Source organism: Homo sapiens, chromosome 20, assembly GCF_000001405.40.
Source record: "Homo sapiens chromosome 20, GRCh38.p14 Primary Assembly".
Taxonomy (NCBI): Eukaryota; Metazoa; Chordata; class Mammalia; order Primates; family Hominidae; genus Homo; species Homo sapiens.
The window spans coordinates 21,323,705-21,347,570 of NC_000020.11; the positions used below are offsets into that span (position 1 = coordinate 21,323,705).

Below are 23,866 nucleotides of genomic sequence, written 5' to 3' on the forward strand. Positions count from 1 at the left end.
TTTCCTAGGTAGTAGAAGTAGAAATTCTCATGTAGCTCCACTCCATATGAAGAGCTGTGCCTTTTCTTGTGCTAGGCACTAGGGCAGGGATTAGCCTGCTGGTGACGTCCTGTTTTTGTGAGTCAGGTTTTATTGGAATACAGCCATGTCCATTCATGTTGTGTTGTTTATGGTTGCTTTCACTCTTCAAAGGCAGATATTAGTTGTTGCAGCTGAGATCATATGGCCAGCAGGTCTGAAATATTTACTGATTTTTTTCCTGGAGGGCACAAAGAATGAGTTTTGATTTTCCTGAGTGTGGTGGGCCGTTGGACAGGATGAAGGTGGATGTGGACTTTGGGGTGTAGAGGTTAGATGAAGAGGCAGAGAGCCTCTTGCCATCATAGAGTTTGTTTTAATTTTGGGGTCATCAAATTATCTTTTTCTATAGACTCCACCCACCCCCCCAAGAATTGACCTGCTTTTTTCTTTACCACTTATTCCACTCACTGTTCCTGATCAAGCCTTTTTTTCTTGATTCACAGCATGTATGTACAGAAGATTGTCTAGTAGCTTCTTCTCTGTTCTGCCTTAAATCCCTTTTGTTATTCTTTCCCTCCAATTCTAAGTGCAACTTGAAGCCCAGTTGCATTCCCGTGATTCCTTCTCAAAGACAGTCAATATCCTGAAGTTGGTGTTTATCATTCCTTTGCTTTTCACCATGCTTTCATTGCATATGTATTCGTCCCTGAGCAATATTGAATGCTGTTTTATTTATTCATAACTTTCTGTAAGTGGTATACTGTATATGTTCTTTTTTTTTTTTTGGCCTAGTATGTTTGTGACCATCTAGCTCTAGCTCTTCCAATCTCACTTGCATCTCACAAGTATATGGATGTTATATGAGCTTATTCTTTTCCTGATGGGCTTGTTTCCTTTCCTCTAAGTTGATCTGTTTACTTGTTTAAGAGATGAGATCTTACTCTGTCGCCCAGGCTGGCATACAGTGGTGTGATCATAGCTCACGGCAGCCTTGAACTCCTGGCCTCAAGCAATCCTCTCACCTCAGCTTCCGAAGTAGCTGAGACTACCCGCACATACCACCATACCTGATTTTAAATTTCTATTTCTAACAGCTTTATTGAGATATAATTTGTGTATCATGAAATTGACCTGCTGAAAGTGTATGATTCAGTGGTTTTTAGTATATTTACAGAGCTGTGCAATCATCACTATTATCTGATTTTAGAGGGTCTTCATTCTCAAAAGTAATTAGCAGTTGCTACCCATCTCCCTCCCCTGTCTCCACCCTCACCTGAAGCAACCATTAATCTACTTTTTATATTTGCAAACATGTCTATTTTAGACTTTTCATATAAATGGGATTGTATAGTACTTGGTACTTCATGACTGGCTTCTTTCACTTAACCTAATGTTTTTGAGCTTCATCCATGATGTAGTATGTACATGATGGGCTTTTAAATTGCTTACAGTTTTTGCTGTTACAAGTGATGCTTTATATGTGCTTGAGGAACTGTTATTTTTTTAAGTGACTTTTATTGTTAATAGTAAAAATTAGATCTCATAGTCTTAATCTCTTGCTGAGGCTCTGGAAGAGAAAAACAAAGGAAGTAACATTTACAAAAACATAATTGAGTATCTCTGGCAGTGAGTAAGCCCTTATCTTTTGAGGAACTCAATGTAGCTGGGGTAGATTGACTAACTGTAAAACAGTGGAAGTGCTACAAGTGAATAAGCAAAATTATGAGGAAATTCAGAAGGAACAATTTCTTGGGAGATATGTACAAGGTGTTATAAAGTGAGTGACATTTGATTTGAGTGTAGACCCTGGAAATTAGTAATTTTTCAGGAAGTGGGTGTTGACAAGGGAGGAAGAAGGTGTTCTGAAAGAAGCATCATGTGACGGCATTGAGAGATCAAAAGGCATTTTCCAGGAACTTACAAGAGAGTGAGTGGGCTTCAACAATAGTATGGCAGGATAGGAGACTAGGAAGGCTCCAGGCTCATTGATAAACACCTGCTGTGAGAATCATTAGAAAAATTAGGTAAGATTAAGGACGTACACTTTTATGTTTTAGAAAGAGAACTCTGACAATGCAGAAAGTGAGCTGGAGACCAGAGAGTCTAGAGGTGGGGTAGACTAGATGAAGGTTGTTGTGCTCTTTTAGGTTAGAGATGGTAACTTCTTGTTGTTCATGGTGGTGGGAATGAAAGGAGATGAAGTAGGTAAGCATTTTTTACGTTACTTTGACAGGACTTACTGATGTGAGTGGTGAGGGAAATGAATTTTAAGATGACTCCCATGATTTCTCACTTGAACAACCTGAATGATTTGTGAATTTTCTAAACATCTACATTGTCAAAAATAACTTGTGTTAGAAGCCATCCACTTTCTACAGATAAAATATCTGCTTCAGTTTGCTTTAAGGAATAAAATAACTTATTATAATTTAAAGGTTACTTGAAGTGTTTTATTTCCAGTTCAGAAATGAAACACAAGTTCATATTGAGCCTAGGATCTGTCATTTTTAGACTTGAACAATCAAACTACTATTAATTATCACTTCCTCATAGCCAAAAGAATGCAATGGTGTAAAGATTCCAGTTGATGCCAGTAAACCTAATCCAAATGATGTGGAGTTTGATAATCTGTATTTGGATATGAATGGAATCATCCATCCCTGTACTCATCCTGAAGACAAGTACGTAACCCATTTTTGTCACTGATATAGCAAATCACAGAGGAAACATTATATTATATTACATTGTTTGGTTGTCATTATAGACCAGCACCAAAAAATGAAGATGAAATGATGGTTGCAATTTTTGAGTACATTGACAGACTTTTCAGTATTGTAAGACCAAGAAGACTTCTCTACATGGCAATAGATGGAGTGGTAAGTGCTAAAATAATTAGAAGCCTCCATTTTGTTTTTTTTTGCTGTGTTACCAGTGTCTAGAATGAAAGTCAGCTAAATAATGAAAAATGTTGACAGTGATGAACTTGAGAAAGAAAGCCTCATCCTTCAGTCATTCATTCAGATGTTTTTTTGTGTGTGTGTTTTGTGCTTATTTTGTGCTCAGTACTGTGAAATACTGGGGATGTTGGCGACTGCCCTTGCTTTTGAACTTTTGGCTTACTGTCAAAGGGAAGGAGGCATAGATAAATGGGTGAGCTTAATTATTTATAGGCATTATAAGCACTAGATAATACATGCAGGGTGTTGAGGGAAGAGGAAGTCAGTGCTACTAAGGAAGTTAGGATATAGAGAAGAGGTGACTTTTGTTCCATTTCTTTAACAATGAAGAATAATTGGGAGATTGGTGGGTGGTGGTGGGAGATGGATGGGACAGGGTTTGGGGAGGGAGGACCTTCCAGATTTCTCAAATGTGGCAGGTAAACACACTTTCCGTGCCTTTGACCACACTGACATGTTTTGGCAACTACAGGTGGTTTGAATTGAGAAGGGAAGTATAGCAAAAGCTTGAGAAAGCCTTACCGTCTGGAGTTTGGACTGTATCCTATAGGCAATGAGTAGTCATGAAAATGATTTGAGAGGAGTAAGTTACTGACCTATGATAATAATACCAAGTAGCTCCTTTTATAAATGACCAGCAAACTCTATTAGGGGGGTAAGGTAAGATATAACTCTAAATTTATTTAGCTATCTGCAAGTAGATTCTTTTAATTTTAGTGCATCCTAGCGGCTAATGGGATGATTTTGGAAATTCAGAGAACTTTGAATCCAAGAAGATTAACTTTTCTGTGAGATTCGTCTTACTCAGTGAAAAACCTTAGCTACCTGATAACTTGCTAAGTTGCAGTTAGAATGGAGTAAAGAGTAAAAAGAAAAGGAATATGTCTTGTTTAGAGCACATTTCAGTTTATATTCAGCTAATTTTTTTTGAAGAAATCTTTAGCTTTACTCCAGTGTGTTCTTTCTGCTACATCAAGTATAAAATATGTACACATTTATATGCATGTGTGTGTACATGTTTATACACACATTTTTTTGTTTATATATAAATGTAGATACAGAACTTTGTACTTGAGAGGGCTTCATTAGATGGTCTCATTCTACAGAAAAGGGAATTGTTTAAAGAGAATATTAAATAACTTACATTTAGATGTAAACAGGATATTTCACAGTTTCTTCCCACCCCAAAACTCAGTTCAGTAACTTCGAAAATCTTACAATCTAGTTCACTTTATTTGGGCTTTTCCACTGAAATTGCATTTGGTTAGAGTGATTTAAAAGTACTTCTGGTTAAGGCATTATTTCTTTCTAACTGCTATGCCTTATTGAAAAGACAGAAAAATTATAAACCTTATTGTGGGAAATAGAAGTGCACCGAGATTCTTCACATAAAGAAATAGTTTTCTGTTGCTTTTATGAGACATTGTGGATCCCATTTGGACACCATTCTTCCTTTTAGGTGTGGACATAGAGAATGTCTTCCTGATCTTAGTTCAGTAGTAACTGCTCATCAGATGTTGGCTGGGTCTTTTGAGTAAAGTGAGCTTTCTTTCTTGGGTGCCCTGAATCAAGCACCCTAACCGAGGGGAACTGGTGTTAGACTGGGAGGGCTTGAAGTATAAGTGCTAGGGCTTCATAGGATGTTTGTCCATTTGACGTGGCACTCATTCACCTGATTGAGCTCAGCTTTTGGGTTCTCGGTCCAAATTTAAGTTCTCAGCATCTGGTATCTGTCATGAAAGGATTATTAGACACATTACTTACCTTTCTTCCATTTTAGTGTACTGCTTTTATAAGAACAACTGATTCAAAATAAGGTACAGATTTATTTGTGAATATTTTGATGAGTGTTATGGAATATGAAATACATTTTCAGGCACCACGTGCTAAAATGAACCAGCAGCGTTCAAGGAGGTTCAGGGCATCAAAAGAAGGAATGGAAGCAGCAGTCGAGAAGCAGCGAGTCAGGGAAGAAATATTGGCAAAAGGTAAAGAATATGCATCTTGAAGTTGGATTTTTTCATAAGATGTATGCAGAATGAGGGGGTGGTGGCAACTTTTTCTTACAAAGAGGCAAGCTTTTAATTTAATAAGGATCCCAGAATATCCAGTGTTCACTGTTGAGGAAAAGTAGTTCATGAAATCTACCAATAGGCTTAATAGGCTTGTTTATTTTCAAACTCTCCAGTAAGAGGGAGCCTTGGGAATAGGGAATTCTGGTGGAGATTGCAGATTGTCAACTCCTCTCAGGGCCAGTGCAGCTCTTTAACAAACTTTTATGTCTCTGTAGAATAGAAATATAGTAAGTATTTTTTACTACTTTTCTCTGTGGCGGCTGTCAGAAAGCTATAGTGCTGTAAACATTTTCCTCAAATCAGCTTTGGTTTGCTTGCTTTTTGAAACTCAGAGGTCTATCTGAGGAAGCCGGAGGTGATTCGATCCACATTTACAGGCTGTTGCCAAGTCATTTGCATACTTTCAATATAGGTTGATGGAGCAGGCACAGTACTTATGGTTCCTTCAAGTTTGGAGGGGTTAGGGTGGGATGTCTTCATTTTTGCAGTTCCCCAAAGCCTTAAAATTCCTGGTGGCTACATGGGTAGGAACTGACTAAGCCTCAGAGAAAAGGAAGATCAGGGAGTGTTGATGCCAGTTGGGACTGGTTCTCTCCTACCACACCTGTGTGTGAGGTAGGGTATGGTTGTAGCAGGTTTGTTTGGTGTTCTGCTACTTAAGGGGGTATAATAGACCAGAAAAGCCACAGTGTCTTGGCTCCGGATAATTGCACTCTGCAGTTGAAAAAGGATGCCATAGTATAGCCAGCTCAGGCCTGCAATTACAATAAATTTTATATTACTTGAATTTTGCTGGAAGTGTACAAGTATATAGTTCCTTTAGCTGCAACTTGTAATTAAGACTCTAAAACCTGTTTGTATTTATAACAATGTTTCTGATTTTAAGAATGTCTTTTTTTTGAAGATGTGATGAAATATACTTGTTTCTTGAGAAGCAGCTAATAGTGATAGAGAGGAAAAAATAGGATTTTTATATTCCTCTACCTGATAATTGTATTTCTTATCCTGTAAAGCTGTGATGAACTCGGCATTTTAAATTTCATTTTTCTTAGGCACCTTTATTTTAGGAACTGTTATCAAAAAATATGGCCTCTAACTGGTGTGTGTGTGTGTGTGTGTGTGTGTGTGTGTGTGTGTGTGTATTCTCTTACAGAGTGAAGAACTTCATAATTTTTATGTAACAATATAATATCTTTTGTGTACCATATATTGTTTTACAGTCTTATTAAAACATAATTTAAAAGGCTGAGCACGATGGCTCACCCCTGTAATCCCAGCATTTTGGGAGGCCGAGGACGGCAGATGACTGGAGGTCAGGAGTTCAAGACCAGCCTGGCCAACACAATGAAACTGCGTCTCTACTAAAAATACAAAAATTAGCCAGGCGTGGTGGCAGGCGCCTGTAATCCCAGCTTCTCAGGAGGCTGAGACAGGAGAATCGCTTGAACCCCGGAAGGCGGAGGTTGCAGTGAGCCGAGATTGCACCACTGCACTCCAGCCTGGGTGACAGAATGAGACTCTGTCTCAAATAATAATAATAATAATAATTTAAATTTGAGAGATGGAATCTTATTTTCTTCCCAGTGAGGGAACATTTTTCCTCGGATGACGAGACTTCACTTTCTTTTGTAGTGGAACTTTTTGTTTTTGTTGTTCTGGCTTAATGTTGAGTAATTTATCTCACTTTTTATGGGGAGAACAAAACGTTGCCTCTTTTCTCTAGGTGGCTTTCTTCCTCCAGAAGAAATAAAAGAAAGATTTGACAGCAACTGTATTACACCAGTAAGTAGTCTCATACTTTGCTAGCTATTGCTAACTCTTAAATGATAGGTTAATTTATTTCTTTCTATCATTTTAGGGAACTGAATTCATGGACAATCTTGCTAAATGCCTTCGCTATTACATAGCTGATCGTTTAAATAATGACCCTGGGTGGAAAAATTTGACAGTAAGTTTCACATTTTGATACTTCAGAAAGATTAGGGTGATCATTCGAGGCTGTACTTTGATATGACTGACATTATTTATCCTTCTGCCCTGCCCCATAAAATGCTAGTTGACTGTTGGAAGAAAGAAAAGCTTCCAGGGTTTTTGGAGATGGGGTATCCTTGCATGGTTAGGTTTTAGATAGCTGAATTTTCTCTTAAAGCCAATTTTGTCCTCTTACCATCACTATGAAGCTATAAAATGGGATTCATAATTTAAAAAATATATATAGGAAAGTAATTTTTAAATGGAAATTTCCATTATTACATATCAATATACAGCAAAATTAGTAAGTTGTGGGGCTGTCTTAAATGGCTGTGTTCCCAAATATTTAAATAATATGTAAATGAACTTGTTTGTAATTTTAGGTTCATAAGCTGGCTTCCCTATTAATGAGAAATGGTAAATTATATTTTATAGATATGTGTTATTGATTATTCTTGGGGCATATATGGTTCAGCACTATATCCTTGCATAGTAGTGAAAATAGGAGCTTGTGAATGATCAGTTTTTCTGATGGCTAGGTCTGACCCAGACATTTCATTCCTTTCCATTACATGTAGTAAGTCAATCAATGAAGTGGTTTTGGTGTCTCTCACACACACACACCCCTTCTTTATTCAGAAAATTTTCAGTGAAGTAGTTTTGGTGTTTTTCACACACACACACACACACACACACACACACACACACACCCTTATTCAGAAAATTTTCCCGTAACACTTATCTCAGTTTTTCTTGAGACATATAATTCTTTTGATTTTTGTGCCTATAGAAAATTGGGGATAATCTGAAAGTGTTAACAATTTTTTTATAGGTTATTTTATCTGATGCTAGTGCTCCTGGTGAAGGAGAACATAAAATCATGGATTACATTAGAAGGCAAAGAGGTAAAGCTTACTTACCAATATTTGATTATATGTTCTATTTTTAAAAAGCCATTGCATAGAAAATACTTGGTATGAAGTGATATTCTTGTGGTATATAATATATTAATATAAATACATGTTTCTCTCTTGTTTAGCCCAGCCTAACCATGACCCAAATACTCATCATTGTTTATGTGGAGCAGATGGTAAGTTTCTTCTTTGGGATTTGCTTCTTTTGGATTAAACCATAGCAAGTTGATGGGTTGGTGTGCAGTAATGGATTATTCATGGTTACCTGGAAGTTCCAAAATGCCTTGGTTATTTTATGTTCGACAGGGAACTAGTATTGAGTTGCTGTTTAATCTGTGGTCAATGATCTTTAATTTCTTTTCTTCTTTCTTACATTTTTCAACCTTTTAACTCCCCATACCTTTAAAATGGAGAATTTCCCAAGTGTTTAATCCTTAGTGGCAGTCTATGTTGTAGGTCCACGTATCTAGAGGACTTCCTGTTAACTGGGAAATGCCAGGAAGTGTCAAGCTTTGGGGCTTTGCTGCTCATTTGGGTGCTCATTTGGGCTTTTCTTTGTGTTGGCATCTCATAGTAGTTTATGGTAAGACTTCTCTCAGAATACTCACTGTTCGATGTTTTTCTCATTGTTGATTGATAGCTGATCTCATTATGCTTGGCCTTGCCACACATGAACCGAACTTTACCATTATTAGAGAAGAATTCAAACCAAACAAGCCCAAACCATGTGGTCTTTGTAATCAGTTTGGACATGAGGTCAAAGATTGTGAAGGTTTGCCAAGAGAAAAGAAGGGAAAGGTAAGAACTTTGAGATGGTAGTTGCCTCATTAAAAAAAAAAATCTATTGTGGTAAAATGTATATGACATAAAATATCATTTCAACCATTTTAAAGTATACAATTAAATAGCATTAAATATTTGAGTTACCTTGTTTTTAAAATGGATGAAGAGAAGATTGTGGTTGATTAGTTCTTTATGTGCTTGTTCTGTTACCGTTACCCTTCACAGAGATGTATCTTTTTTCTTTTTTTTTTCTTTTGAGACAGTCTCGACAGAGACGAATCTTTTAAAGTACTTTAAAATAAACCTGCATTCAAAAACATGCACACACTCATCCTTTCTACTTAGCACTTTTTCTGATATTGCCTATATCTACACGAGGCTTAGTTCCCATAGATAATAATGCCCATAGCTTGTAATTTGTTTGTGGAAGTTATTTGTTTGAAATACTCTTCTTAAAAGGAACTACAACTTCTTAAGACTTTTAAGTTACTCCCACTTTTTATGTATTTTAGGTTCACTTGGTTATGTCCAGTCCCCTTTAAAGGGGCTTCTGTTTCAATAATATGGTGCCTCTTGAGTCATATGCTTTTTGAGGGGGGAAAAAGAATATGGTGCCTCTTTCAAAGACATCGTTAAGTGAAAAAAGAGATAAATATAGTGTATTATTTCAGATATGTAATACAATAAAGACAGTATACATGTATCTATGCACATCTGTTCACAAGGAAGGGGTAATCATTGGTTGGGTATAGGTCATCAGTTGGCAAACTTCAATCCTCCAGGTTTGGCCTGTGAGCTATGTTTTTTACATTTTTAAAGTGTTGTTAAAAACAAAATAAAACATGAAAGACTATTAAACAGAGATCATATATGTCCCCCAGTAGCCAAAATAATTTACTGTCTGGCCCTTTGCAGAAAATGTTTGCTGACCCCTGATCTAGACGTGGTTGATTTTATGGGTAATTTTTATTTTAAAATGCATTGGTGAGCTTTTAAAAATTAAATACTTGTGATATTAAAATGGATTGTGCGTTAGAAAAAGCCTTAAAATTTGCTTGGTTGGAAAAAATTACTGGACGTAGAGTAGACTTGTTTCATCTTCATTCCTGTTCTTGCAGCATGATGAACTTGCCGATAGTCTTCCTTGTGCAGAAGGAGAGTTTATCTTCCTTCGGCTTAATGTTCTTCGTGAGGTATGTAGCAATAATCATTGAAATCAGCACTCTAAAGCAGGGTGCCTTTGATAGCTGTAATGGCAGCATTCCTTTTTGGTTGTAGTATTTGGAAAGAGAACTCACAATGGCCAGCCTACCATTCACATTTGATGTTGAGAGGAGCATTGATGACTGGGTTTTCATGTGCTTCTTTGTGGGAAATGACTTCCTCCCTCATTTGCCATCGTTAGAGATTAGGTATGTGCATTTGTGTAGCTTTTCAAACGACTGTTTTAGGCTTCTTGACTTTACTGTGCCTACTGGTCCTAATGCATAATGTTTGTCTCTTGCTGACAGGGAAAATGCAATTGACCGTTTGGTTAACATATACAAAAATGTGGTACACAAAACTGGGGTAAGTTCATTCTTGAATGATTTCAAAACAGAAGTATTTGCTTTTATAAGAAGATCATTTTACATATATTTTATCACTTACAGGGTTACCTTACAGAAAGTGGTTATGTCAATCTGCAAAGAGTACAGATGATCATGTTAGCAGTTGGTGAAGTTGAGGATAGCATTTTTAAAAAGAGAAAGGATGATGAGGTAAAGTGTTTCTATTGCAGTAGCTAAAATTGCTCCTGTCTCTAATAGGCTATGATGATCCTGTGATTACTTTTAATCTCTTTGAGTGTGTTTTTATATCATTATGGTGTGTCAACACTAATGTAATCATGAGTGGTCAGTGCTTTGATTATTTTATAAAGGTTGTGCTGCTTGCTCTGTGGAACTATGTATTGTACCCTGTTTGAGTTGCATTGTAATGTTTTTTCTGTCTTCATAATCTGAATATAAATCCAAACACATTTCTAATCAATAGGATTTGAAATGCGGGTACCAAGGCTGGAAGTCTATTGGGATTGAACTAGTGGCTGTCATGTTTTGAAGGCAGGAAGACAGGTTAAGAAGAATTGACAATGTAGGGAGTGTGGGTTGGATTATATCAGCCAGGGCAGAGGGTTGGGAGAATGTAGGATCTGTGGAGAGCTGAATCTCTTAAAAAATTGAAACACAAGAAGGAAATAAAATAGCAAAGCATTTGAAAATTGATTGCATATTATGGATGAGCGCTTACATGAAAAGTCCAGGTTCTGGCTTGGGCAGTTAGGAATTTGCTGGTGCCATTTACTAAGATAGCAAGCACTAGGGGTGGAATGGGTTGGGGTGGGGACAAAGTAAAAACTGAGTTTCATTTTGGAGATGTTTAATGTGAGGGGGCTGTAGGACACCTGAGAGGAGAAAAGTCCATTAAGCAGTTGAATGTGTATAAAGCTCAGGGCAGAAGTCTTTTGAAGAGATTTGAGAACCATTAACTAATGGAAGATACTTGAAACTATGAGTGTACTATGAGTGTGACCCTGGGAGCTTGTGTGGAGTAAAAGTACCTTTAATAGAAGCCTAGGGAACCACGGACATTTAAAGAGAAAGAGGAGCCAGTTATAGAGAGGTAGAAGGAAATTCCTGAAGAGATGGGAAGCCATGCTCAAGGGGTCACAGTGAGATGGACAGGCACTTCGTCCGTGGACAGGGTTTGGGATCCACTGGTGAGCTGATAGGAGTGGAGGAGCAGCAGCCTGGAGGCAGAGTGATTGGAGGGTGATTGCAGGGTGTAGCAAGGGAGGCCAGCAGTGGGCAAAATAAGCAGGTAATAGCTTCTTAGAAACAGCAAGGAAATCCTTTCAGAAACTGATTTTATAAAAGTCATGTGGCTATTTTAAGCAGATAACAACATATATTACTGCTACATTGCTTCATGATCTCCCAGCACATTAAAATGTGTCATTGAATCTTATTTTCTGTTTTCATCAACTTTGTATACTGTAGCTAGTGATCTCTTATTTTTAAAACTTTGGGTGTCATTTTATGTAACATAGTGGGTTGACTGTAAGCATTCTTTCCAAAAGCCTTCAGTACTTGGTAATGTTTTTATGTGATGTCAAGAGTTTTTTGCATATAGAATTCAAATTACAGAACTAGCTTTGTCTGGAAGATCAGATGTCAATTGGAACATTTTTAACTACTTTTTCAACAATTATGGTGGCATCCCTTGATCTGCTGCTACATACTTTGTACCACTTGGTTTAAAAACCTTGAGTTACAGTAGCTTCTACTGTCTCTTTAGCCGACTCTGCACCTTGAGTTGGCATTAGAGGAGGAAGTATGGGATTTGGTAGACACCATAGTGTTACAGATTTAATTAATACGATTTTTCAGCTGACCTGGCAGGAGAGGGCATTTTAAAGCTTTGGATCTTTGTTGGTGTTCCTGAAGTCATGCCATGTCCTTCAGCATGATTGGACACCAGGGGAAACCCTCAAAAACGCAATAGGAAAGTTTCCAGATATATGTATTTTTCTGGGAAGTATGTCCCTGGCATTTGACAGATTTCCAAAGGAGTTCATAGCACAAAAAAGGGAGAGATCCATAAGGTCCACCCAGGTGGTCTTCTGTTTGTGCGTGACTACCACCCTTAGAGATAGGCATTTAACAGACCAGCAGAACAAATGATAGAAAAGGAATACATTAATATTTGTTATTGGCTAAGCGTGGTGGCTCATGCCTTTAATCCCAGCACTTTGGGAGGCTAAGGTGGGCAGATCACCTGAGGTTAGGAGCTTGAGACCAGCCTGGCCAACTTGGTGAAACCCCATCTCTACTAAAAATACAAAAATTTAAGCTGGGCGTGGTGGTGGGCGCCTATAATCCCAGCCGCTTGGGAGGCTGAGGCAGGAGAATTGCTTGAACCCAAGAGGTGGAGGCTGCAGTGAGCTGGGATCATGCTACTGCACTCCAGCCAGGGCGACAGAGCAAGTCTCTTGTCTCCAAAGAAAAAAAAATTGTTATTGAAGTTGAGCATTTAGGCAAGAAATGTGTTGCTTTTTATTGTATGAGCTTTCATGTTTACCTTTTAACTTGGGAATGTTGTTCATTTATTAAGCAAATATTTAAGTATTTACCATGTGCCAGACAGTGTTCTGAGTGCTAGTGATACAGCAAAAAACAAAAAAGGAGACAGAAATCCCTGCCCTCATGGAGTTTACATTCTCTTGGGAGAGCTGGAAGATAAACACAGTAACTAAGTAAACCTCATTAAGTGTTAGAGAATAAGTGCCACAAAGAAAACTAAAGCAGGTGAGGAGGCATCTGGGAAGGGAGAGGTTGGGCATTACAGTTCTAGAAAAGGTGACGAGAGATGGCCTCACTGACAGCTGACCTTGATTAAAGTTGTAAAGGATGTGAGGGAGCACACTGCAGATGTTTTCAGGAAGCACATTACAGACAGAGGGAATCACCAGTGCCAAGGCCCTGGGGCAGGAACATACTCAGGATGTTCACAGAACACAAAGGAGCCAGTGTGGAAGGAGCAGAGGAGGCAAAGGAAGAGCAGTAGGAGATGAACTCAGAAAGAAGACGGAGGGCCCAGTCTGGTAGGACCCAACAGGTCATCATAGGACTGTTAACTTTCATTGTGCATCAGTGTAAGGTTTTGAGTAGAAAAGTGACAAGATTTGACACATACTGTAAAAGGATCACTCTAGCTGCCATGTTGGAAGTACTGTGTGGAGGGAAAGGTCAAAGCAGTGAGCCCCAGGCCAGTGAGGAGCCTTTTTTACAGTAATCCAAGGGAGCCTGGATGGTAGCAGTGGAGATCATCAGAGGCAGTTGGATTCTGAACATGTTTTGAAGGTAGAACCAGTGGGATTGGCAAATGGATTAAACATAGAGTGTAAGAGAAGGAAAGGTGACACAAGACTGAAAGATGTTTTGAGCAACCCTCATGGAAAGACTGGGAGGTGCAAAGGTGGGTTGGGGATTCTATTTCAGACATGTGAAGTTTGAGATAGCCAAATGGAGATGCTAAGTATGGAGAGGCTCTGGTTGGGGAGTCATCAGCATGTAGATGGTGTTCAAAGCCATGAGACCAGGTGATGACTCCCATGGGAGGAGAGAAGTGGAGAGATCCAAGTACTGGGCCCAGGGGAGCACCAACATTAACTCATTTCTGCCCAGTGTTCCATTATTGGAACGATAAGCTTGTGGGAGTTATTTATATCCTACTGCTAAAGGTCATCACCAAGGTTTGATTTTTCACACAAAAAACTTGCAACCTCCAGCATAAATGGGTTAAGAGGCTGGGGAGTTGAGGAACAAAGACACATAGCAAGAGGGAAGGAGATCAGGTGAGTGTAGCCTCCTGGAAGCCAAGTGAAGACTGATCCAAGGAGGAAAGAATCCTGGTCAGATAAGGACTGAAATCTGACTAATGGATTTCATAGTCTGCAGGTCATTGGTGACCTACACAAGAGACGTTTCATTGAAGATGGGACAGAAGCTTGATTAAATAAATCAGTGGTTTCTACATCAGAGGAGGTTTTAGGGTAGTTGATCACCTGGGCTCCACTTTAGAGCAGGAGACTTATGTATCCGGCATTCAGCTTTTTGCCTGGCAGAAAGCACCAATTTCCAATTTCCTTAAGGCCTTATATTGCAGTTGGTAGGACTGACTTTGGAAGTGTACCTACTAGGATGACCATCAGTATAGGATCCACTGGCCCCTGTTTTAGGCTACAACAGTAGCTATGGCCACCCTAGCTGTCATTTCAGTTCCTTGATACTCAGGGAAACTTGGGCATGGTTATGGGAGGCCTGCGAATGGCCCAGAGTTAGTAGGGAACAAGATGAACACAAAATTCTGTCTAGTTGAAACCATGGCTACAATTTGGAAATGAGTAGGGGGAAAGAATCAACGTGGGCTGGACCCTCTCCTGTGAATTAAATTGGCCCAGAGTAGTAAGCCGTGCATACACCTCAATTTCCTTCCTTTTTTTCCATCGGATTGATATTTTTGGAATCTGGCCAGGGTGAGGGATAATGTTTGCGTAGAGTCCCACTTCTCTCTTTTCTCCATTGTGCCATGCATGCTATAGAATAAGAGCCCTTTTTAGATAACAGAGTCTAATTAAATTGTCTTGCTGATTTTTTTAAAAATGGATACCTTAGTTATTAACTACCTTCAACTAAACCTTAAGAATTGTTGAGTTGTTTATTTTATTTTATTTTATTTTTTAACTTACTTGTATCTTCTCCATATTGACAGCCTGTTTGCTCCAGGATAAAACCAAGGGTCTTTGTAATGGCTTTGCATTTTCCTAAAATGATTCAAAAGCTTTCTGAACAGAATTACCAAGATCAATTGAATTGTATCTAAATTCAGTCTTCCATTGTTAAGTTCTGATAAGCAGCATTTTGAACATATAGTCTTATTGCCTGGTTTAATCATGTACCTAGATTTCTGGGGTCGTCCTTTAAAACTTAAGTTGTCTCCCAAATCATTCCTGGTAATGCTTAACTCTGACATTTTTGTGTAATTATTTGACAGAATATGTGGATTTTATACTTTTAGGACAGTTTTAGAAGACGACAGAAAGAAAAAAGAAAGAGAATGAAGGTGAGTTTTAATTAATTTCATGAGATTGGCAATAGCGTAATTTTACAATTTATGAGGAAGATGTTCATTACAGTAGCTTTATTCCTTGTCCAGTAGGACTTAGTCAGGGACGTAAGTGTCCACCCAGTTACCTTTTTACCTGTAGAAAGAACACTGGTGTCGATTTAAAGAAGGTCCTCTAGGCTCTGATGTCTGAAGGGATACACTTGGGAGGTGAGAGGTGGGTGGCAGTTAGCTATTTGAATGGTTTACAGCAATCAAGTATTGTTTTTTAAGTAAAAATGGTCAATATTTTGTATCCCCTTGAAAGTTACTGTACTCTTATTTCTACCTCTTTGTCAGATTAATCTTTCTAGAACACAACACTCTAAACTTGTTTCTCTGCTCTAAAAGCACCACTGACTCCTTAATCCCCTCAGAATCCAATTCTGTCTTAGTTTGGTGTTCAGAGCACACTGTCATCCAGTTGAATTCCAGCCGTCCAGCACATCCCCTGTTGTCTTCTAAATACGCCATATCCCTGCTGATTAAGAGTGTTGCCTTCATTTGTAACCTCTGAATGGATTTTTGACTTTGCAGCTCACTGACATCATACCTTTTCTACAAGGCCTCCCTTCTTGGTTATGCTCATAGTACAGGTTGAGCAATCCTTTCTTTTAACTCTGGTGCTTCCTATGTCTGATACATGTTTTCTTACTTAATTGCATAATGCTTTATAGTCATTTAACTTCTTTAGTTCTTGTTTTCTTATCTTCCCTACTAGATTTTCAAGCTTGTGGAGTTTAGGGACTGCCTTTTACTACGTTTTGTTAGAATTAAGCAATTTCAGGAAACAAGAAGGGAGAAAAGTAGAGTTATTTATTGTTGCAGTGGGTTCAAAATCATTTAGATTGGGAGGGGCATATTTGGTTTCTACTTATATATTATTATTTTTGTCAGTATCTTAGTCAGCCAAGACTATCACCTATGTTAGCTATAATCATATCTAATTAATTGGAAATAAAGAGTTAAATTCTAGCAAGGCAAAGGGTAAATAAAAGTTGTATTTCCACAAAAATTAGCCGGGTGTGGTGACGTGTGCCTGTAATCCCAGCTACTCGGGAGGCTGAGGTGAGAGGATCGCTTGAATTCAGGAAGCAGAGGTTGCAGTGAGTGGAGATTGCACCACTGCACCCTAGCCTGCACAACAGAGTGAGACTCTGTCTCAAAAATAAATAAATAAATTTAAAAAGTTGTATTTCCTAAGTATAACTCAAACTCAACTTTTTTTAAACCTAAATTATTTTGTTTTTATTAGCCTGAAATTGTGTCTCGAATGTTTTCTGTAATTATAAAAAGCAGTGGGTTAGCATAATGAGACTTGAAAGATTTTCTCTATGTTTCAGTATAATGTATTATATGTACTTTAGGACTGAGTTATTAAGTATTATAGGCTATTGTTTAGAAGGTATAAGTTACCATCAAATCAAAGTGTAGACAACCTTGTAATATTAACGAAGATCATTTGGTTTTTTAGTGAGTTTTGTAAAGTGCTTACAGTTTGGACTTTATTCCATTGCCCTTCTTTCCTTTCTGTCATCTAACTGTGTTGTGATTTAATTTTAATTTCTACATTCATTCCATTTATGTTAGAGAGATCAACCAGCTTTCACTCCTAGTGGAATATTAACTCCTCATGCCTTGGGTTCAAGAAATTCACCAGGTTCTCAAGTAGCCAGTAATCCGAGACAAGCAGCCTATGAAATGAGGATGCAGAATAACTCTGTAAGTGGCTTACTTTTATGTGACATTTAAGAGTGGTGAATATCACATACCTCTTGCAGGGGTGGTGTGTGTGTGAAATTTATCACAGCCTGGAGTTTTGTTTTATAGTTTTTCTTAATTGCTTTGCCTTGAGAAATGTTTAGTTCTGTTAAGTCCATCTTTATCAATATGAAAATATCCAAATGATGTGAAAGAAGAGCACGTAGGATTGTTGATACATGCGAATATAAAGAGCTGATTCCAGTTTGGGTGACAGCGTGAGACCCTGTCTCAAAAATAAGCTAAGTGGCTGCAGTGTTTTTGTAATGCAGATGAACCACACACTGCTTCTCCCTTCTCCAAAGAATAGGGTGGTGAATGGTTCTAGAAGCTTGTCAAGGGACATCCATATGTCTCAAAGCTGAGGCAAGAGGAGGAGGATGGGTTTTATTCCCTTATTTCCCCTTTCCTTCAGTGGGCAGTTGTGAGCATTTTGCAAAATAGTATTCCTTAGGTGTAAACTCTGGCTCTCCAATTCAGCATGGAATAGATCTAAATAAATATCTTAAGGTAGCACTTACTGGTTACTCCCTGTTTGTGAACTCAGCAACTGCATGCATTTATTTGCCTTGTGGTATTCTTCCATATTTGAACTTGGTAATCCAAACTCCAGAAGCAAATCAACCTATCCTGCAAGGCTGTACTTTGTCCACCACCTTCCTATTGTAGTGGAAATAGACCATGAGCTCTCAGAATACCCAGTGGGACAGCAACAGGGCTGAGGGAACAGACCCTGATCTAACAGTAGAGGAAGGAACATACACTTTTGCTATGATATATCCAAGGAAATTGAATAAGCTTGGATATTTAATTTCTGTTATTCTGTTAGTTATCCTATTGATGCTCATATGGAACAGAAATAGCTGATGCCCATCATTCAAGATTTTAGTGACTACCATCCCCGCAGAGCAGAACTGAGAGTGACTGGTGGTGTTATATGCCCTGTTGATGGTAGAGTACTTTTTTTTTTAAATCTTGGGAGGCAGGCAGGTTTAAACTTTGCCAGCTGTGGTTGCTTCAGGAAGCATTCCAGTATTATCTTCAGGCCCGGTAGTATTAGGCCACAGGACCAGACTGTAGATCGATAACATCTGCCATAGGAGTAGTAATGGGGAGACTGGTGATGAGGTTGCTTCTTTGATTCTGTCTTAATTAACTTCCCTTGCCACAATTATTTCTATATAGAGGAGGTATGGAATTCGAATCTTTGCAGAGTGGGATTTTCACCTAGAATGTTCTAAATTTAAGGAAATTTTGAAGTCAAATTACCAGTTTATTTAAAGGGAGCCATTAAAGTTACAGATTTCTCGTGTTTTATTTTTCTGAGCTGTTGGGTTGTAGTCTCTAATACTTATCTACTGATGATTAACATTCTTAGTGTTTTATTAAATAGCTTCCATTTCCTTATATTTGTGGTTTTATATTTAGCGTTCTTCAGTGTGGTTTCATTATATCTAATTTGATGAAAAAAACAGCTTAAGAAGAAATTTGAATTTAATATGAATCTGGTATGTTCACAAGGGAATATTTTTGTTGGTAGAGACAGCAGCGGAGATTTAGCATTAAATGGTGAACAGCATTTTTTTCTAGAAAGTATATTATTATTTGTTTTCTAAAGATAGAGTTTATATCTTGTTAGTAATTAATTTTGTTAAAGTTTGCTTTTTACACAACTTCTCTGTAGACAGTTAATGGGAATGTCACTCTCATAATTTAATACAAATGGATTAGTGTAGGGTTGAAAAAACAATAGTGATTACTTACTGAATGGTTAACTACCATGTACCATGTAGGCAGCATGCCAGTAATCTTTCACATGTATTGATGCATTTAATCCTTGCAATAACTTGTAAGGAAACAGAACGTTATCATCCCCATTTTAAGATGAGGCTCACAGAGGTTAAGTAATAAATTGTTCAAGGCCACACAGCCAGTAAAGGTTGAATTTGGTATTTCAGACTCAGATCTGTATGACTAAAATACAACAATACCTGCCTCGTTTTCCAAGTACAACAGTGCCTTCCTGTATTTATTTTTATTGGGTTTTTTTTTGACAATATTGTCTGTACCTTTTCATTAATAACATTGACATTATGTTTTTAAAAGAGATGTGCTCTAAGTTCTATGTGAAATATGATTTCGTATTATTTTAACTTTTCTTGACCTGTGGTATGAACTGTGTTTATGCTGTGGATACTCTAATTATTATATCATTCAAATGGCCTTCTGTGCTCTCAGTTTAAAAAAAATTCAGTTTACTTGAAATAGCTAATATACTGTGAGTAACAGAAGAAAAACTTGACTGTGGAAATGTTTCTGCCCCTTATGTTTTTGGTGATGTGGTCCTTTAGCTTGAGTAACTAAAGTTGCAGAACATTTTCTTTTAATTTTTAAATATTAAAATATGTTAGGGTTATATTAAAATATGTTAATTAAAATTAACGTATTATGTTAATTGAGTTAGGTACAAAGGGAAGATAATACTGAATTTAAAGTGACAGCTAAGTCTTTGAAATACCAATAAAATCTGCATTTTTCTAAGATGACTAATAGATTTTTATTTGTTGATTGATTTTTAAAACTGAACATATAAAGTAATTTAAGTTATCTAACACAGTCTTATTAAACTTGCTTTTCAGAGTGGTTGTACTAGGTTGAAGACTTAACCATTTAGCTGCATTCTCACCAGCATTGACTATTTTATATATTATTACATCTATATTATTATATATTATATGCTATATATGTAATGCATTTTATATATCACATAATTTTTTCCCCTCATAGCTTTGCCATTTGGTAGGTGGCAAATGATTGTGAATTCCTAACAGGAATTGTTACAACTGATTGTCACAAATGATTGTGAACCACCAAAGGAAAATAAAATTCAAGTACTATAATTTTTAAAAATCTATAAAATTAAAACTTTTTTTTTCTTCAGAAACTTTTTTTTTTGCCCTAATAATGTTAATTGTTTTTAGTTTAAGCATAGAAAGTTTGGGTATTACATTACTTCTTTTGAGGGGAAGTGAAATGGAGCAAGATCAGTCTCTGTACCTTCTAAATATGTTTACCATCTCTATGTAGTAGCTTTAAAAATGTTACTGTGAAACATGGTAAGTAGTGGTGGTTGGATGTACCTTCTTATGTAAAATGAATAATGAAATCCTTCTTCTGTAATGTCATCATTGTCTGCAGAGTCCTTCGATATCTCCTAATACGAGTTTCACATCTGATGGCTCCCCGTCTCCATTAGGAGGAATTAAGCGAAAAGCAGAAGACAGTGACAGTGAACCTGAGCCAGAGGATAATGTCAGGTGAAGCCATTTTTTGGTAGCACTTTGTTAGCAAATTGCTGAAATAGATGCAGTCTAATTAATGCTATTTAGCTTAGAGCAGCAGTGCCTTCAGATGCTTGCCTGTGATCTTTTTATCCATCAGTAATTAATGTGGAGGGTTAGAATAGTCAGTAAATTCCAGTGAGATGTGTAAGCTGTAGCTGTTAAACCTAAGTGTCTAGATTAGTATGCGTGCAGGCTTTCGTCCTCCAATCCACTTTTCCCTCTGAGACCAGGCACAAGATCGGCTAGATATCATATCTAGGTGTTTAGCTCTGACTATGTGATCTGAATGTTGCTGTTTGGAGACTGATTAAATTTTCAAGCTGCTTAACCTAGAAAGTTCAGTTATACTTAGACACTTAATATAGTTTGCCTTAATCTTCTCTATTGAAAGAGTTCTTCCTCAAAATGAAATATGCAGAAATCATTCTGTTAAGAGATCAATATGTATGTTTTTTAAAAACCACAGACTTGCATATGCGCAATTATATTTCATGACAGAGGAGTTTCCCTTTAACTGTATACTTCAAATTTAAAATAGGAAGCTGATTCTTTAATTCATCCTGAAGTTTGAGATCATTATATAATAAGATTAACAACCTCTCATGTAATTAAATCCAGATTTGAACCGTGGGCTCCAAGTGCAAAAGGCCAACAATCTCAATAATTGTAGCTCATTAAGAATTTAGGAAAACGATCTATTTCAAAGGTAAACAAGACAGTAGTCACCTACAGCTCATGCTTCTTTTACAGGACATGGAAAGTGTGTGATTTGTGTTTATGATTAGAAACTTTGCAAGGGTCACGTGTGGTTCTGCACATTTTTCTAACATTCTTTGATTTCAGATCCATGTCTACTTGTGATTGAACATTTACTCTGTATATCTTTAGTTTCTATCCTCTACTTTCTGTACTTTGGGTTTTCCTCTTACAGCATGTCTTTGGTTTTGTTTACTATGTAGCCATCATGATCAATACTAGTTTAATAGGTAACTTGATTTGTTTAGTATTTTATTGTTTAATCCTAGAGGAAATTGTTTAATCCTAGAGGAAATCATTGTTTAATCCTAGAGGAAATGCCTCTACCAAGAAATGCTTGGGGCTTTTAGCATTTTTTCATTAACCTTTTCTGTAAAATAGTGATAATCCACCTTATGAATGGGGGATATTTCTAATTGTTATTCTGTGACTCCTTTGTGTTGTGGGAGGGGCAGATTAAAATTGATATGGTATATTCTGAAACATGACTGCAATTAATATGTGAAATCTGGCACATGGAAAAGAGGCCTAAATGGAGAATCATCTTGATGTTCTTGATCTGTTCTGATGTTTGTAAAGTGTTATTTGGCTTCTTTATGTTCCTTAAATGTTAAATCTTAGAGAATAAGAAATGGATTCTTAAAAAAAATAATACATTGGATGAAAATGTGGTTGGTCACATTGTATTTTCAGTGATGAATGATAATTTAGTGGATTCATTGACCTGCTTCTAGATTTTACCATAACATACATATGTTTGTGTGTGTGTATGTATACATAGATATATAGAGATATAGAATGTGTATGTCTCTCTATATATATCTCTATCTCCTTTCCTTAAGCCATCAACAACTCTTAGCTGAAAGAGGGATAAGGCCCAAGCAAGGATAGAGAGAGTAGGTATACACATAATTTCTGCCTAATGTCTAGATTATTCTTTTATAAACTATTTTTTTACATTTAAAAAAGTTACCTGTGTGCGTCTTAAGTAATTTAGTTGACTTTCTTTGTATGGTTTAAATATATTTTAACAAACTAAGGAACTTGAACTATTTAAAATATCTTCAATATTTGAATCTTAAAATGTAGCTTTAGAATTGTACAAAGAAACATATAAAGTAGTATTAAAATTTGAGCAAATGTGTTCTGTATCTTTTTCAATAACATTTTTGAAAATGTGGTTTTATAATGGTCTTACCAGAATCAGTGATTGGGGTGTGTTTAACTGTCTTTAAGTTGATAATAAATCCTATGAAATTAGACTTTTTAGAAATAGTTAAATGAATCTGTGTTAGCATGACTGTTTAACTCTTTCACATTTCCCCTGGGTATTAAATATAAATTGATTTGGGGTATAAATTAGTAGACAGCCTGTTACTGAAGGTGTGTTAATTCAGCATAAATGAGCTGTGCCTGGTTTTAGGTTATGGGAAGCTGGCTGGAAGCAGCGGTACTACAAGAACAAATTTGATGTGGATGCAGCTGATGAGAAATTCCGTCGGAAAGTTGTGCAGTCGTACGTTGAAGGACTTTGCTGGGTTCTTAGATATTATTACCAGGTACAAAAAGAATATTTTCCTCTGAATTTGTAGTTAATCATTTAAGAAAAATAGTAATTTCTTTTTTTTTGTTTGTTTTTTGTTTTTGAGACGGAGTCTTGCCCTGTCACCTGGGCGGGAGGGCAATGGCGTGATCTCAACTCACTGCGACCTCTGCCTCCCAGGTTCAAGCGATTCTCCTGCCTCAGCCTCCTGAGTAGCTAGGATTACAGAGCGCACCACCACACCCGGCTAATTTTTGTATTTTTAGTAGAGACGGGGTTTCACCATGTTGGTCAGGCTGGTCTCAAACTCCTGACCTCGTGATCCGCCTGCCTCAGCCTCCTAAAGTAGTGGGATTACAGGCATGAACCACTGCGTCCAGCCCAGTAATTTCTGTAATAATAGTATTATTGAGCTGGATCTTGAAAACAAACCCAGGCTCATTTTTTAAAGCTCCCTATTCAGAAGTCCGTATTTGTAAATATTTGTTTCTGAAGACGTGGAAGTTTCTTAGATATTAATATAGAAACAAAGCTAATTTTTGTTAAAAGTATTTTCAGGATCAAGTAATGTGGTTGACTGCACTTTGTCTTTAAGATGACGAAAGGTTAGTGCTTTTTAAATTGGAGTTTAAAAATAACTGAGTAATGAATTGACAGTCACTGAATGACTGAACAGAGGACAAACCCTGGAAAATACAAATAAGAATTCTAAAGGAATTTGAATGCTACGCTTTTCATAATATAGTGATGATACATGAAGCACATTCTAATTGGAATAACCTGTATCCTACCTTTTGATAATTGAGATGTCAGATTGGTGAGAGATTAGGTAGACATATTGAGGACTGTAACACTGATAGTTAATATCTGGTTTCGTGCTTAGAGAGCAAACCAAGTTAAATTTGGTGTGACCTGGGAATAGATGAAGTTTGTTGACAAGTAGAAAGTAACACAGTGCACTGAGTATTGACCGTTAAGTACTCTGTTTGCGTTTTACTCCTACTGTCAAGATTTCAACTCACTAGACACTGTCTTA

The 23,866-nt window shown here is 37.2% G+C and overlaps 1 protein-coding gene across 4 annotated transcripts in view; it reads left to right on the top strand.

Moving 5' to 3' along the window:
- The window catches only part of XRN2 (5'-3' exoribonuclease 2), an 86,495-nt gene that overhangs the window by 20,374 nt on the left and 42,255 nt on the right, over positions 1-23,866 (top strand). For 2 of the 4 annotated variants that reach the window (NM_012255.5, NM_001317960.1), the window contains exons 2-17: positions 2,575-2,702; positions 2,786-2,897; positions 4,855-4,966; positions 6,777-6,835; positions 6,912-7,001; positions 7,857-7,929; positions 8,064-8,114; positions 8,579-8,736; positions 9,840-9,914; positions 10,000-10,133; positions 10,233-10,290; positions 10,374-10,481; positions 15,340-15,384; positions 17,017-17,148; positions 20,386-20,504; positions 22,711-22,846. In NM_012255.5, coding sequence (NP_036387.2) covers positions 2,575-2,702; positions 2,786-2,897; positions 4,855-4,966; positions 6,777-6,835; positions 6,912-7,001; positions 7,857-7,929; positions 8,064-8,114; positions 8,579-8,736; positions 9,840-9,914; positions 10,000-10,133; positions 10,233-10,290; positions 10,374-10,481; positions 15,340-15,384; positions 17,017-17,148; positions 20,386-20,504; positions 22,711-22,846 — 1,590 coding nt within the window. Of the gene's footprint in view, positions 1-2,574; positions 2,703-2,785; positions 2,898-4,854; positions 4,967-6,776; positions 6,836-6,911; positions 7,002-7,856; positions 7,930-8,063; positions 8,115-8,578; positions 8,737-9,839; positions 9,915-9,999; positions 10,134-10,232; positions 10,291-10,373; positions 10,482-15,315; positions 15,385-17,016; positions 17,149-20,385; positions 20,505-22,129; positions 22,190-22,710; positions 22,847-23,866 lie in introns of those variants that run through there. The other 2 variants (XM_017027722.2, XM_017027723.3) reach the window with 2 other exon arrangements.